General features: G+C 53.6%; 1 protein-coding gene across 3 annotated transcripts in view, besides 1 other annotated feature; it reads right to left on the bottom strand.

The window, feature by feature from the left end:
• OBSCN (obscurin, cytoskeletal calmodulin and titin-interacting RhoGEF) overlaps positions 7,039-12,553 on the bottom strand; it is a 170,833-nt gene continuing 165,318 nt past the window's right edge. The window contains exons 106-116 of one of the 3 annotated variants that reach the window (NM_001386125.1): positions 11,903-11,983; positions 11,491-11,601; positions 11,163-11,330; positions 10,091-10,213; positions 9,737-9,907; positions 9,041-9,122; positions 8,624-8,863; positions 8,203-8,426; positions 7,909-7,984; positions 7,495-7,644; positions 7,039-7,297 (exon numbers count right to left, since the gene is read on the bottom strand). In NM_001386125.1, the coding sequence (NP_001373054.1) occupies positions 7,120-7,297; positions 7,495-7,644; positions 7,909-7,984; positions 8,203-8,426; positions 8,624-8,863; positions 9,041-9,122; positions 9,737-9,907; positions 10,091-10,213; positions 11,163-11,330; positions 11,491-11,601; positions 11,903-11,983 (1,604 nt within the window). In that variant the 3' untranslated portion in view covers positions 7,039-7,119. The remainder of the gene's footprint in view (positions 7,298-7,494; positions 7,645-7,908; positions 7,985-8,202; positions 8,427-8,623; positions 8,864-9,040; positions 9,123-9,736; positions 9,908-10,090; positions 10,214-11,162; positions 11,331-11,490; positions 11,602-11,902; positions 11,984-12,553) is intronic. The other 2 variants (NM_001271223.3, NM_001098623.2) reach the window with 2 other exon arrangements.
• Positions 7,248-7,317: an enhancer, noted in NCBI's record as "active region_2693". NCBI's record gives its function as "activates an Ori minimal core promoter by ATAC-STARR-seq in GM12878 lymphoblastoid cells {active_cell/tissue: GM12878}" and the evidence as "EXISTENCE:reporter gene assay evidence [ECO:0000049][PMID:35858748]".

The following is a 12,553-nucleotide window of genomic DNA, read 5'->3' as shown; positions in this document are numbered from 1 at the left end:
AGTCTACTCTTGAATTCCTCTAGTGAACTTTTCAGTCCACTTATTGTATTCCTCAGCTGAATTCCTGTTTGATTCATTTTTATATCGCACAAATTTTGACATAGTTTTTTTTCATTCTCATTTGGTCTCCTTTGTCATTTCTTCTCTGACTCATGGATTACTTGGAAGTGTATTGTTTATGTCAAACACTTGGAGATTTTTCAGATATATTTAACTGGTTACTGGTTTTCAATTTAATTATGTTATGGGCAGAGAACATACTCTAAATTATGCAGTTGCCTTAAATGTATGCATCTATCTAACTATCTATCTTTGTATATCTATCTCTACATCTCTATCTTCTGTATCTCTGTATATCTATCATGTCTATCTATTCTATTACATCTACCTATCATCTAACTCTGTCTCTATCTTCTATCTCTATACCTATCTCTTCTATCTGTAGTATTTATATCCATCCATCCATATCTCTATCTAGCATATCTAGCTACCTATCTGTGTCTATCTTCTATCTCTATCAATCCATTTATCTATATCTGTAGATATCTATCTTCTATAGCTCTATTATCTATTTTTCAATATATCTTTGTCTCTATCTCTACCTATATCATCTATTTATCTTCTCTATCTTCTAGATCTCTATCATATCATCTATCATTTCTATATCTGCCTCTATCTGTATCTTTATATCTCTATCATATATTTATATCTGTGTATATCTATCTACCTATCTTATCTCTTAGCCCAGTTGCCCAAGGTACCAGTATCCTTATCTGCAGGTGAGCATGAGGACCTCTGTGTTGAAGACACATCAACCTTTGGATACAGAATGCAGAGTCTCAGGAGATAGGCCAATTATTTGCATTTTGAATGCTATCTGTTTCTATACCATATGGTAGTAAAAATTTGCATGGTATGATTTTAAAAACTTGAATTTTTAACTTAATGTTCTATGTTCTGTAGTAATCTCATTTTCATGTTACCAAAGGAAACCTGTTATGACCAGAATAAATTATTTTCCCAACATTGAACTAAGAATTCCTAGAGCTGGGGAAATAAAGGAATGTCCTTTGCTGCCAGCCTCCTTCCTTCCTCCTTAGGATACCTCTTTAAAATTAATTATTAGGCCGGGCGCGGTGGCTCACGCCTGTAATCCCAGCACTTTGGGAGGCCGAGGCGGGCGGATCACGAGGTCAGGAGATCGAGACCATCCCAGCTAAAACGGTGAAACCCCGTCTCTACTAAAAATACAAAAAATTAGCCGGGCGTAGTGGCGGGCGCCTGTAGTCCCAGCTACTTGGGAGGCTGAGGCAGGAGAATGGCGTGAACCCGGGAGGCGGAGCTTGCAGTGAGCCGAGATCCCGCCACTGCACTCCAGCCTGGGCGACAGAGCGAGACTCCGTCTCAAAAAAAAAAAAAAAAAAAAAAAAAAAAAAAAAAAAAATTAATTATTAGTTTGGTTTTCCCATTTAATAGAGAAATTATTTAGGATGTTTTCTAAAATGTCCAAGTAGCTAGCTATAACTTGCTGTTTATTCTTTGATTGACAGTGACTAATGTCATTTCACAGTGGCCAGGAAATGTGGGCTGTATGATCTCCACTTTGAGAGGATTTTGACCCAATGCCTGGGTCATTTATGTGGCTGGCCTCTGGATATCTGAAAGTAATATGAATCCTTCATTTGCTGGTTTCAAAGTACTATCTACCTATCTTCCTGTCTATCACATAAATGTTTCCAGTGATGCCATCAATAGTTACAGAAATTGATTGATTTTTATATATCTGACCTATTGATTTCTAAACACAATATATTAAAATCTTCTACTATGATTACCAATGTACCAGTTATCAATTTTGCCTTTTATTGCCATAGCTTTCTGTTTCCTAGATACTAAGTTGTTGTGATTTTATATAGATAGATAGATAGATAGATAGATAGATAGATAGATTGATTGATAGATTTTCACCCACAGTTATTGGCTCTTAACTCATAAAATCCTTGGGATCGCCGAAGTGTTTTCTTTAGAATACCTTTTGTCTGATAGGTTCCAGGGTGGGGCTGGTCCCTGGAAAGACAAAGGCAGGAGTAGAGAGTTGGGACTTTCAGCCCCACACCCAATCTCCAGGGAAGGGATAGGGGCTGAAGGTCAAGTTGTTCACCAATGGCCAATGGTTTAATCAATCATGCCTATGTAACAAAGCTTCCATAATCCAAAAGGACTGGGTTCAGAGAGCTTCCGGGTAGCTGAACATGTGGAGGTTCCTGGGAAACGGTACGCCCAGGGAGGGCAGGGTGGCTCCACGCCTCTTCCTTCCTTCATACTTTGCCCTATGTGTCTGTATCCTTTGTAACATCCTTCTTAATAAAGCAGTAAACATAAGTAAGTGTTTCACTGAGTTCTGTGAGCCGCTGTAGCATATTAATGGAACCCAAACAGGGGTTTGTGGGAACCCCAACTTAAAGCCAGTTGGTCAGATGTTCCAGAGGCCTGGACTTTTGACTGGTGTCTGTGTGGGGGGCAGTCTTGGGAAGTGAGCCCCAATCCTGTGGGGTCTGACACTATCTCCAGGTAGACAGTGTTGGAATTGGACTGAGGACACCCAGCTGGTGTCTGCTGCTTGGTGGTGGGGAGAAACCTCACAGGTTTGGCCACAGAATCTTCTTCTGTGTTGATTGCTGCTGTGGTGTGAGAGCAGAGGAGAAACGCCATTTAAGAGAGCTTTTCCCTTGTATAGTTTTGATATATTAGGATAATATGAGTAATTTCCCTGCAGTAATGCCTAAAGCATAACAGGCACTATAAATGGTGTTAAGCCCTGTTGTTAGTGTTAATTGTTATTATTCACCATCATTTTGGTTGGTTGGTGCCCAGGCTATGTTGTATTTGTCCTTACTGGAAAGTTACTTGGGAGAAGAGACACAGACCTAATCCATACTATGTGTCCAGTGTTCTGGTCCTTGAGGGGTTTCAGATTCAGACCATGTTTATTTCACACATAACTCTCTGAGTGGACGGTCCAGCAACTCCTATGGCGACTCATGCTCATTCCTACAGTTCTTGCTCTGGTTCAAACACATTTTGTCCTTCCCCCTTATCCACTGTGATTTTCTGACTCCCCCAATATGAGTGAGACCTGTGAGCAATAAAACAGCCCTGAGAACTATTCGGGAACTCCTGATCAGTCTGAATGTTGGCACTGCACAGCCTAGTCTTGCAATCAAGCAAAACCACCATGGATGAACCTGGAAGACACTATGCTAAGTGAGATAAGCTGGTCACAGAAGGCAAATGCCACAGCATTCTCCTTACGTGAGGTATCAAAGGAAGTCAAGTTCATAACGACAGAAAGTAGAATAGGGGCTACCAGGGCCTGGGAGGAGGGAGAATGGGTTTTAATGAGGACAGAGTTTCAGTTTTGCAAGATGAAGAGTTCTGGAGATGGACGATGATAATGGTTGCACCACATGTGAATATAATTAAAAATACAGAACTGTACACTTGGCTGGGCACGGTGGCTCATGCCTGTAATCCCAGCATTTTGGGAGGCCGAGGCAGGCGGATCACCTGAGGTCAGGAGTTTGAGAACAACCTGGCCAACATGGTGAAACCCTGTCTCTACCAAAAATACAAAAAATTAGCTGGGTTTGGTGGCACATGCCTGTAGTGACAGCTACTTGGGAGGCTGAGGCAGGAGAACTGCTTGAACCCAGGAGGCGGAGGTTGCAGTGAGCCGAGATTGTGCCACTGCACTCCAGCCTGGGCAACAGAGCAAGACTCTGTCTCAAAAAAAAAAAAAAAAGAACTGTATACTTGAAAATGGTTGAATGATAAATGTTATGTGTATTTTATCACAGCTTAAAACTTTTTTAACAACTTTTGCCCTGTGAAAGACCCTGTTAAGGTGAGGTGGCTCACGCCTGTAATCCCAGCACTTTGGGAGGCTGAGGTGGGAAAATCTCTTGAGCCCAGGAGTTTGAGACCAGCCTGGGCAACATAGTGAGACCCCATCTCTAAAAAAAAAAAAAAAAAAAGTAAATTAGCCAGATGTGATGGCATACACCTTTAGTTCCAGCTACTCAGGAGCCTGAGGTGGGAGGATTTCTTGAGCCCAGGAGTTCAAGACTGCAATGGGCCATGGTTGTGCCACTGCACTCCAGCCTGGGCAACAGACTGAAATGCTGCCTCAAAAAAGACAAAAGGCTCTGTTAGGAGGAAGAAAAGACAAGCCCAAAAGTGGGAGAACATATTTGAAAACCACATATATGGCAAATGGCTGGTCTCCAGAATATACACAGAACTCTTCATCCTCAACATTTAAGTAAACAAACCATCTGGTTAGAAAATGGGCAAAAGACATGAATGGATATTTCACCCATGAGGATATAAAGCTGGCCAATGAAATGACAACACGACGCAGCCATTGCATTCTTGGGCATTTATCCTAGAGTAATAAAGATTTACAGTCACACAGCAACCTGTGTACATGAATGATTATAGCAGCTTTATTTGTAATTGCCCAAAACTGGGAATGACCCAAATGTCCTTCAATGGATAAGTGGTTAAACAAACAGTGGTGCATCCGTAACATGGAATATTCTGCAGCAATACAAAGGAATGAACTATTGACACATACAGCAGTCTTCATGAATTTCCAGAGATGTCAGGCAAAAGATACCACATATAGGATTATTCCATTTATAGAACGTTCCTAAAATGACAAAGTTATATTAGTGCAGAACAAATTGTTGGGTGCCAGGGTTAAGGAGTGTTACTGTGGGAGGAAAGTGGATGTGGTTATTTTTATGCCTTTTTGGGCAGCATAAGGGTTTCCTCGAGATGGAAATGTTCTCTGTCTTGACTGTACCAGTCTTAATGGTCGTCATATTGTACTACAGTTTTGTGAGATGTCAGTGATGGGGCTCAGAATGCAATACCCCAAATTACGGCACCTTGGCATGCTGAGTATCTCAAGCTGAAGGAAATTGTGTCTCTCTGACCGTCTCCTGCTTTTCTGCCTTGAAGGAAGCCATAAGAGAATTCTCTGACCTACCTCCCCCAAAAGCGGGTCATAGGATCCTCATTCCAGAGGCCAAGAAGAATCTGAACAAACGGGCCTTGGCAAGTTGCCCCCAGTTTATTACCATTAAGTTGCACCTGCTTTTTGTCTAAGCATATTTTTACATGACTGTTCATTCTTCATCAAACCCAAGCATAAAAAATAGACAGATTTGCCTGTTTCTTTGGGTTTTTGTTTCTGAAGGCTCACTTGTCACATAAAACCTTTTGTTAAATAGATGTGTGTCATGCTTTATCTTATTAACCTGTCTTTGTGATTGGGGCCATACGTGCAAGGTTCATCCATGCGCCTTGCAATGGGTGAGGAAAAGATACTACCTTCCCCCCCACCCCGCCCTGACATCAGTGTCCTGGGAAAGTGAGTGCACGGTGCCTGTACCCTTTGTGATGCATTGAGTGGTGACATGCTGACTCTCAGGAGGTCGTAAAGGAGGAGGAAGGTAAAGTCAGAGGCAGTGTGGGGGCAGAGGGAGTGAGGGCAGTCAGTTCAAGTTAGAAGATGTTTGTTTTCTTTTTAGAGACAGGGTCTTGCTCTGTGGTCCAGGCTAGAGTGCAGTGGCACAATCACAGCTCACTGCAGCCTTGACCTCTGGGCTCACCTCCCGAGTAGCTGGTACCATGCTGGTGGCATGCACCACCATGCCAAGCTAATTTTTTATTTTTTGTAGAGACAAGAGTCTCCCTATTATTGCCCAGGCTTGTCTTGAACTCCTGGGCTCCAGTGATCCTCCTACCTCAGCCTCCCAAAGTGCTGGGATTACAGGTGTGAGCCACTGTGCCTGGCCGATGCTTGGATTTTGATTCAAAGTGTCCTGGGCTCAGTAAGATTTCAGGGGAGGTGTTCAGCATTTGGACATTGCAGAATGGACCCATCAGCATGTGGTCGTCATTGGGCCCCTGAGATGAGCTGAGAATCAGGAGGGTAGAGACTGCTGTCTACACCCTGCAGCCCCAGCCCCCCAGGAACGAAGCTGTCGTCCAACGTCAGCCTTGTTGCTGGGGACAGTGGAGATCATATCCCCACCCCGGGAACCCTGGGGCTGCTCGAGAAGAGGATGCTATGAAGAGCTGACTGTTTTGGTGATTAAAAGGAGTGTTTAAAACAACCGGGCCTCATTCTGGGTTGCATGCTGTCAGAGAGAGCCAGGACAACTCCATCACTGGATGTCCCCATAAATCTAAGCTGGCCAGGAATCAGCATGACCCATTTTAGCCAAGAGGGGTCGGTTAGCCTCCTCTCCATCTATGCTTAGACATAGGTATGAGGGGCCTGGCCTTGTGTCTGAGGGACCTCTGCAAAAGGTTTTATGTGCAAGAGGAGAAGGCCCTCCCTGCCAGCTCCCAGGTCTCCTGGGCTGCACCTATCTCAAGTTCCCTTTCCCACGTCAAAGAATAGGAGAAAGGACATTCAGCAGCGTTTGAGAGACAACGCGCGCACCCCACGGCCCAGGCTTCCTGCACTCCTGGCAAGGGGCAGGGCGGGGCTCGGCCAGCGTAGTCATTGCCCATGGAATCTCAAACACTGGGTTGCTTTTCACCGAGGCCACGCGCCAGCGACTCTGAAGCCTCCTCTCCTCCAGCGGATCGTGGCCCGCGGCTTCTCGCCCTCGCTTGCACGCTTTGCCCAAGAACTCTTCCCGGGGCAGAGAAGTTGTGGAAACAAGCGGCTGGCCCGACGGCGGAGAAAGCGGGCTGCGGGGCTGCAGGTCAGCGTGATGGAAGAGAGGAAGGCGCACGGCGGGTGGAATAAACGCGCATGGGTGTGAGGACGGAGACGCCCCGAGGGGCTGAACGCGCGGAGCATCGGAGTGAGGGAGCGACCCCTAAGGACGCCTTCTAAGGGGCTCACAGGCCCAAACACAGCGGGGCAGCCTGATCGGCGCCCCAGCCAGAAAGGCGGGGACAGAGCCCTCACTCCCTCTCCTCCCCAAAAGAAAATAATGCAACGAGACGGAAGACTTCTCGCCCGGCTGTGCGTTTTTATTGGCGCGTCTGCAGCGACCCCCAGCGGGGAGACCAAGGGTGTGGCCGGGGCGACCCTCAGCGCACCTGGGCCAGGTTGTGCCTCTTGTACAGCAGCGCGCGTCTCTTCTCGCGATTGCGCACGAAGACGCGCAGCCGCGCGGTAGGGAAGGTCACGGGCGCGGGCCGCGAACAGGCCGGGCCCTCCTCTGTTAGCCACGGGCACTGCAGGCAGCTGGACGCGCAGGGCCGGCCCCTGGGACGGACATAGGCTCAGCACGTGGCCCAGCGGCGGGAGGGGTGTGGGGAAGGCAAGTGGAAAAGGGGAGAGGGGGAAGGGAGAGTACCGAGGGGAAAGGGAGTGGGGGGGCGGGGCGGGGCGGGACGGAAGGAGGAGGGGGCGGGACGGGAGGAGGGGGCGGGGAGAAGGAGGAGGAGAGGGGCGCGCCTTACCAGGGCTGGGCGCACAGAGTGCTGCGCAGGAAGGCCACGGCGCCCCCGGACAGCCCCGCGTAGCAGCGGCTCAGCCGGACCAGCCCCTTGCGCAGTCCTCTCTGCAGGTCGCGTGCACCCTCGCTGCTCACCGGGTACTCGGCGCTCAGCCTGCGCAGGTGGCGGGTGCACGGGCCCTGAGGTCACCCTCCTTGGGTAGACCAGGGCGGAGGGGGAGGGGATGCAGGAGCACTGAGGTCACCCTCGGGTGGCCGGTGCAGGGGCCGTGAGGTCATCCTCGGGTGGACGAGGGTGCAGGGGCCGTGAGGTCACCCTCAGGTGGACGGGGGTGCAGGGGCCCTGAGGTCACCCTCGGGTGGAGGGGGGAGACTGCCCCGCCCACCTAGCAACCCCCAGACAGGTTGGAGGACTCACATGATGAAGGCTGTCACACCGATGGCCCAGATGTCTGTCTGTGGAACAGCCCCCTGGCCCTCCAGGAGCTCTGGAGCTGGGAGGGGCACATGTGGTTGGGCTCAGGTGGAGGGACACAGGTGGTGGGCATGAGTGAGTGGTCCCAGGTGGGATAGGTGGGGCACAGGTGTGTGGGCCAGGTGTGTGGCTGAGTGGGTGGCAGTGGAGCTGGGAGAGAGGACAGCACTGGAGGAGAGGGGGCTTCTTCCTGCCCCCCGCCCCAGGTGAGGTCCCCCCAACTGTCCACACACGCACCCATGGTCTCTAGGTAGTCCTTGAACTTGTCTGAGGGCAGCACCTTCTCCTGGCTGAGGCTCTGTGCATTGCCCAGGTCCACGACCTTGAGCAGGTTGTATTCGGTGATGATCATGTTCTCGGACCTCAGGTCCAGGTGCAGGATGTGCTGGTTGTGCAGGTACTGGGTGGCACTCAACATCTGCCACAGGTAGTCCTTCACCTCGGATTCTGAGTAGGAGGCCCTGGGGGGCAGAAGCTGCTCAGCCCAGGCTCCGGGGTGGGGGCCACCAGGGCCAGGGCTGAGACTACTCCCCGTGGACTGGGAGGGGCACTGGCTGTGCAGAGGGGCCTGGTCCTCCAGCCCCACCCCAGAGGCCTGGGTCCATCAGTCCATCAGTCCGTCCATCAGCTCAACCACACCACCCCAGGCCACCCTCACCTCTCGGCCAGGCAGGGGAGCAGCTCGGGCCCAGAGCACAGCTCCAAGATGAGCACCAGGTGCCGGGGGCTGAGGTAGGCTGCGTGCAGCTGGGCCAGGTGCGGGTGGCGCAGGCCCTTGAGGGCCTCGTATTCGCGCAGCACTGCTGTCTTGTCCTTGGGGTGGTAGGGGATGATCTTGGCGGCCAGCGCCCGCCCGCTGGCCTTCTCCCAGCATTGCCGCACCACGCTGAAGCGGCCCCTGCTCAAGGGGACAGCGGTCAGGCTGGTGGGTGGTCCCCTCCCATTCCCCGATTCCCAACACTCAGAGCAGCAGGAGCCCAGTTCAGCGAGATGGTGGGTGTGGGGGCATGGGTGGTCAACAAGGGGGGGTCCAGGCCCTGGCCCCACCCGCCTGCAGCCCCCCAGGCCACTGCACCTCTGGATCTGTGTCTGGAATGCGAAGGTCTTTGTGCTGGGCAGGGGTTGGGCTGACCGCCCCTGGCTCTCCTCCTCAGAGGCTGTGGGAGGAGGGGCAGATGATAAGAGGGGGTGAAGAGGGCATCCCCACAGCCCCAGCTCTCCCCACGTCTCCCATCACCCCTTCCCAGGCACCTTGACAGCTGGGACTTTGAGTTACGCACTCCCACCTCTTGTTCCTCAGGTTCTGGGGGTATGGGGACAGGGAGGGGGTACAGCAAGCAGTGAGAGGCAACCTGAGTGAGGGTGTGTGTGAGGGCTGCAGGGGCATTTGAGAATGGACCACCCATAGCAATCATGCCCTCTCTTCCTCCCTTGAGCCCAGGGCAGACATTACTAATCAACCCTAGCATTCCTCCACCAAAGCTAGAGGCAGCACAGGCCAGTCACTACCAACTCTCACTACCAACACTCAGAATGAAGCAGAATGGACTTGTGTGCTCGTCAATGAGTGCATGGGAGTGTAGGTGAGTGAAGGGGGGGCCTGGGGGTGAGGCGGCCCCTAAAGTGTGTAGGCCTCGAATGCCAAGCCCAGGAGCAGCTGTCTCCCCAGAAGGAAGTGGACAGCTATGGAGACCCTGCACAGGAGGGAGCGTAATCTGGGTCTTCTAGCTGCTGTTCCCACCCTCCAAGCCCCGAGTGTGGTGTGGCTCACCCAGGTGGCTGGGCCCTCCCAGGAGGACTTGCTCCGAGGGGCTGCTGTAGGGACCCATTCCTGCCTTGCTGACACATGCCGTGCGGAAGGTGTAGGTGCCACCCCGGGAGAGCTTGCTGGTCAGGTAGCAGCAGTCAAAGATGTCGGAGGCCAGTGTGGTCCAGCTGCCGCCTGGCCACACAGGAGCACGTGAGGGGCCACTGAGGCCTCCACACACCACGTCAGTGGGGGTGGAGAAACCCTTCCCTGAGGCCACCCATGGGAACACAGCAGGCCAGGCATCTCCCCAAGGGCCCCTAGACATGGCTCCCGGGAGGGGTGGCCGGAGCCTCGGGTACAGGGGCCACCTCATACCTTCTAGGCTGCACTGCACAATGTAGGTCACAGGGCCGTAGGATTCCACGGGCTTCCAGACCAGCAGCACCCCATCCGCGTACACCTCCCCGATATCCGGGCATGGCGAAGATGAGGGGCGCTCTGCAAGGCACTGCCCAATGGTCAGTGACTCCAGGGTGGGCACCCAGCCTCCAGGGGCCAATATCTGGCTGGCGCCTGCCTCACCCTGGCAGCCACCAGGGCTCTGGAGCCCACCCTCCCTGGTCCTGTTCATTCAGGGTCCAGTCACAGTGAGGAATGGTAGGAGGGGCCTCTCCTGGCGAGGGGCTGGGGAGGTGTCTGCCCTGCCAGATCCCACTCCTGGGCTGGCCCATCCACCTGGGTGTGACCAGAACCCTGTGCAGGGGCCGAGCCTCTGGTCAGAAGGGCCCTTGGTGGGGCTGCTGGGCTTCACTGGGTTGCCCTGCACAGGTTCAAGCAGGCCGGCCCACTCTGGGCATTGGGCCAGGGGTCCCAGAGCTAGGCCTGTAGCCCCCATCCTGACCACCTCAGAAACACGCCCCAGGGAACTGTGTTGTGCTTGTAACTCGACTTTGATTGAGGCATGGAACGGGAAGCAGCCCACTCCTGCATAGGCTGGAGGGATGGGCATGGAAGGAACGTGGGAAGATGGTGCAATGGGTCATGCGCCCGAGAAACTCAGTTCTCCCGGCAAGTGGCCAATGGGATGGGCTTTCTCCCTGGCAGGGAGCGTGGATGAACAGGCTTCCTTCCAAGCCCTGTAACGTCAGCAGCTGCGTCCGGCCATCCTTCCCAAGGCTGGTTGTTTCTGCTGGGACCAGCTCAGGGCCTCCTGCCAGCCCAAGGCAGCCTGGGCGGTCAGAACTCTGTGTTGACCTTCTCAGGCCTCCTGCAGCCCTGGCCATGTGTGGTGCCTGGCCCCATAGGGATGTGGGCTGCTCAGGGTCAGGGAGCGGATGCCTCAGCGGCCAATGCACGGGCCCGGAAGCATTCCACGCAGGATGAGGCTTCCCAGCAGCCCCAGCCCAGCCTCCCTGGCCTGGTGGGACCCCCAGTGTGGCCCACGTACCTGCCTTCCGGAGGACGCCCGTGGTGGTCACTGTCCCCAGCGCATTGCTCACGCTGCAGGTGTACACACCCAGGTCCTCAGCCACCACCACCAGGATGGTCAGAAGCTGGAAGTTCTTGAGGGTGGCAGAGATGAGGACACGGCTGCTGCTCTCCAGGGGGGCTCCGTCTGCAAAAGGACAGAGCAAGCCTCATGCCACAGCCAGGCCTCACACCTCTCCCTGGGCCTCAGTTTTCCTCCAGACAGCGAGGCATCCCGTGGGGCCAGCTCACAGGATGGCCACTCACCCGATTTCACACAGCCCCCAGCCCCTGGGACAGCTTCTTACCTTTGCTCCAGGTGGCCTGGGCAGCTGGCTGGGCTGACACCTGGCAGGCCAGTGTCACTGACTGGCCCAGGACCACAGTCTCATCTGAGAGCTCCCTTAGGAATGTCGGCGCTGAGGAGGGAGGGTGAGGTCAGCCTTCAGGGGTGACCTCCAGGCCCCAGAGCATGGCCTGGACCCTGGAGACACCAGGAGGAGCCCTGCCCCACCACTGCCAACTCCCCAGCCTGGCCCATCTGTACCACCATCACCTCCTCCAGGAAGTCCTCCAAGACTGCTCAGTTCACTACACCCACCAGGACCCCTCATCTGTTCCCGCACCCATGTGAGTGCAAGCTTGCTCCCCACCGGTCTGGCCACGCTGGTGGGACCCTGAGAGGCAGTGGGGCCTGGTCTCTGTGTTGGGCCTGCTCACCTCGGTCCCAGCTCTTCAGACCTGAGAGCCGGAAGGAAGCAAGGCCTGGCTTCTTCCTGGGGGGCCCCTCCTTCTCCAGACCTGCAGGAGGAAGAGGGCCAGTGAAGGTCATGGTCAGGAGGCCTGGCCCCTCTGGGTAGTACCAGCTGCCTCTGGCTGCAAGGACCCCGAGCAGCTGGGACAGGAAGAAATTGGGGTCGGCTGGCCCGCTGCCCACTCCCCAGACTTCCAGGCCACAGAGGACAGAGGAAACATGAAGACCAGGCACCCTCCCCACCTCCAGGCACGGGGTCAGGAGGGTCCAGGGCCAGGGAGGACTATGTGGTTGGGGAGAACTATGGGGTTGTGAACGGTTTGGGGGTCTGGAAGGGTTTTGGGGTCAGGGAGGGCCTGAGGTCAGGAGGGTCTGGGGTCAGGTAGGGTATGGAGTTGGGGAGGGTCTGGGGTAAGGTAGGGTCTGGGGTCAGAGAGGACTATGGGGTCAAGGAGGACTCAGGAGGATCTGGGGTTAGGAAGGTCTGCAGTCAGGCAGGATCTGGGGTTGGGAGAGTGCAGCGTTGGGGTGTCTGGGGTCAGGGAGGGCCTGGGGCCGTTCGGGAGGACTCGGTTCAGGGAGGATTATGGTTCAGGAAGACTCTGGCCCCTTCAAAT

Source organism: Homo sapiens, chromosome 1 (assembly GCF_000001405.40).
Source record: "Homo sapiens chromosome 1, GRCh38.p14 Primary Assembly".
Classification (NCBI taxonomy): domain Eukaryota; kingdom Metazoa; phylum Chordata; class Mammalia; order Primates; family Hominidae; genus Homo; species Homo sapiens.
This window is presented reverse-complemented; position numbering and strand designations above follow the sequence as displayed.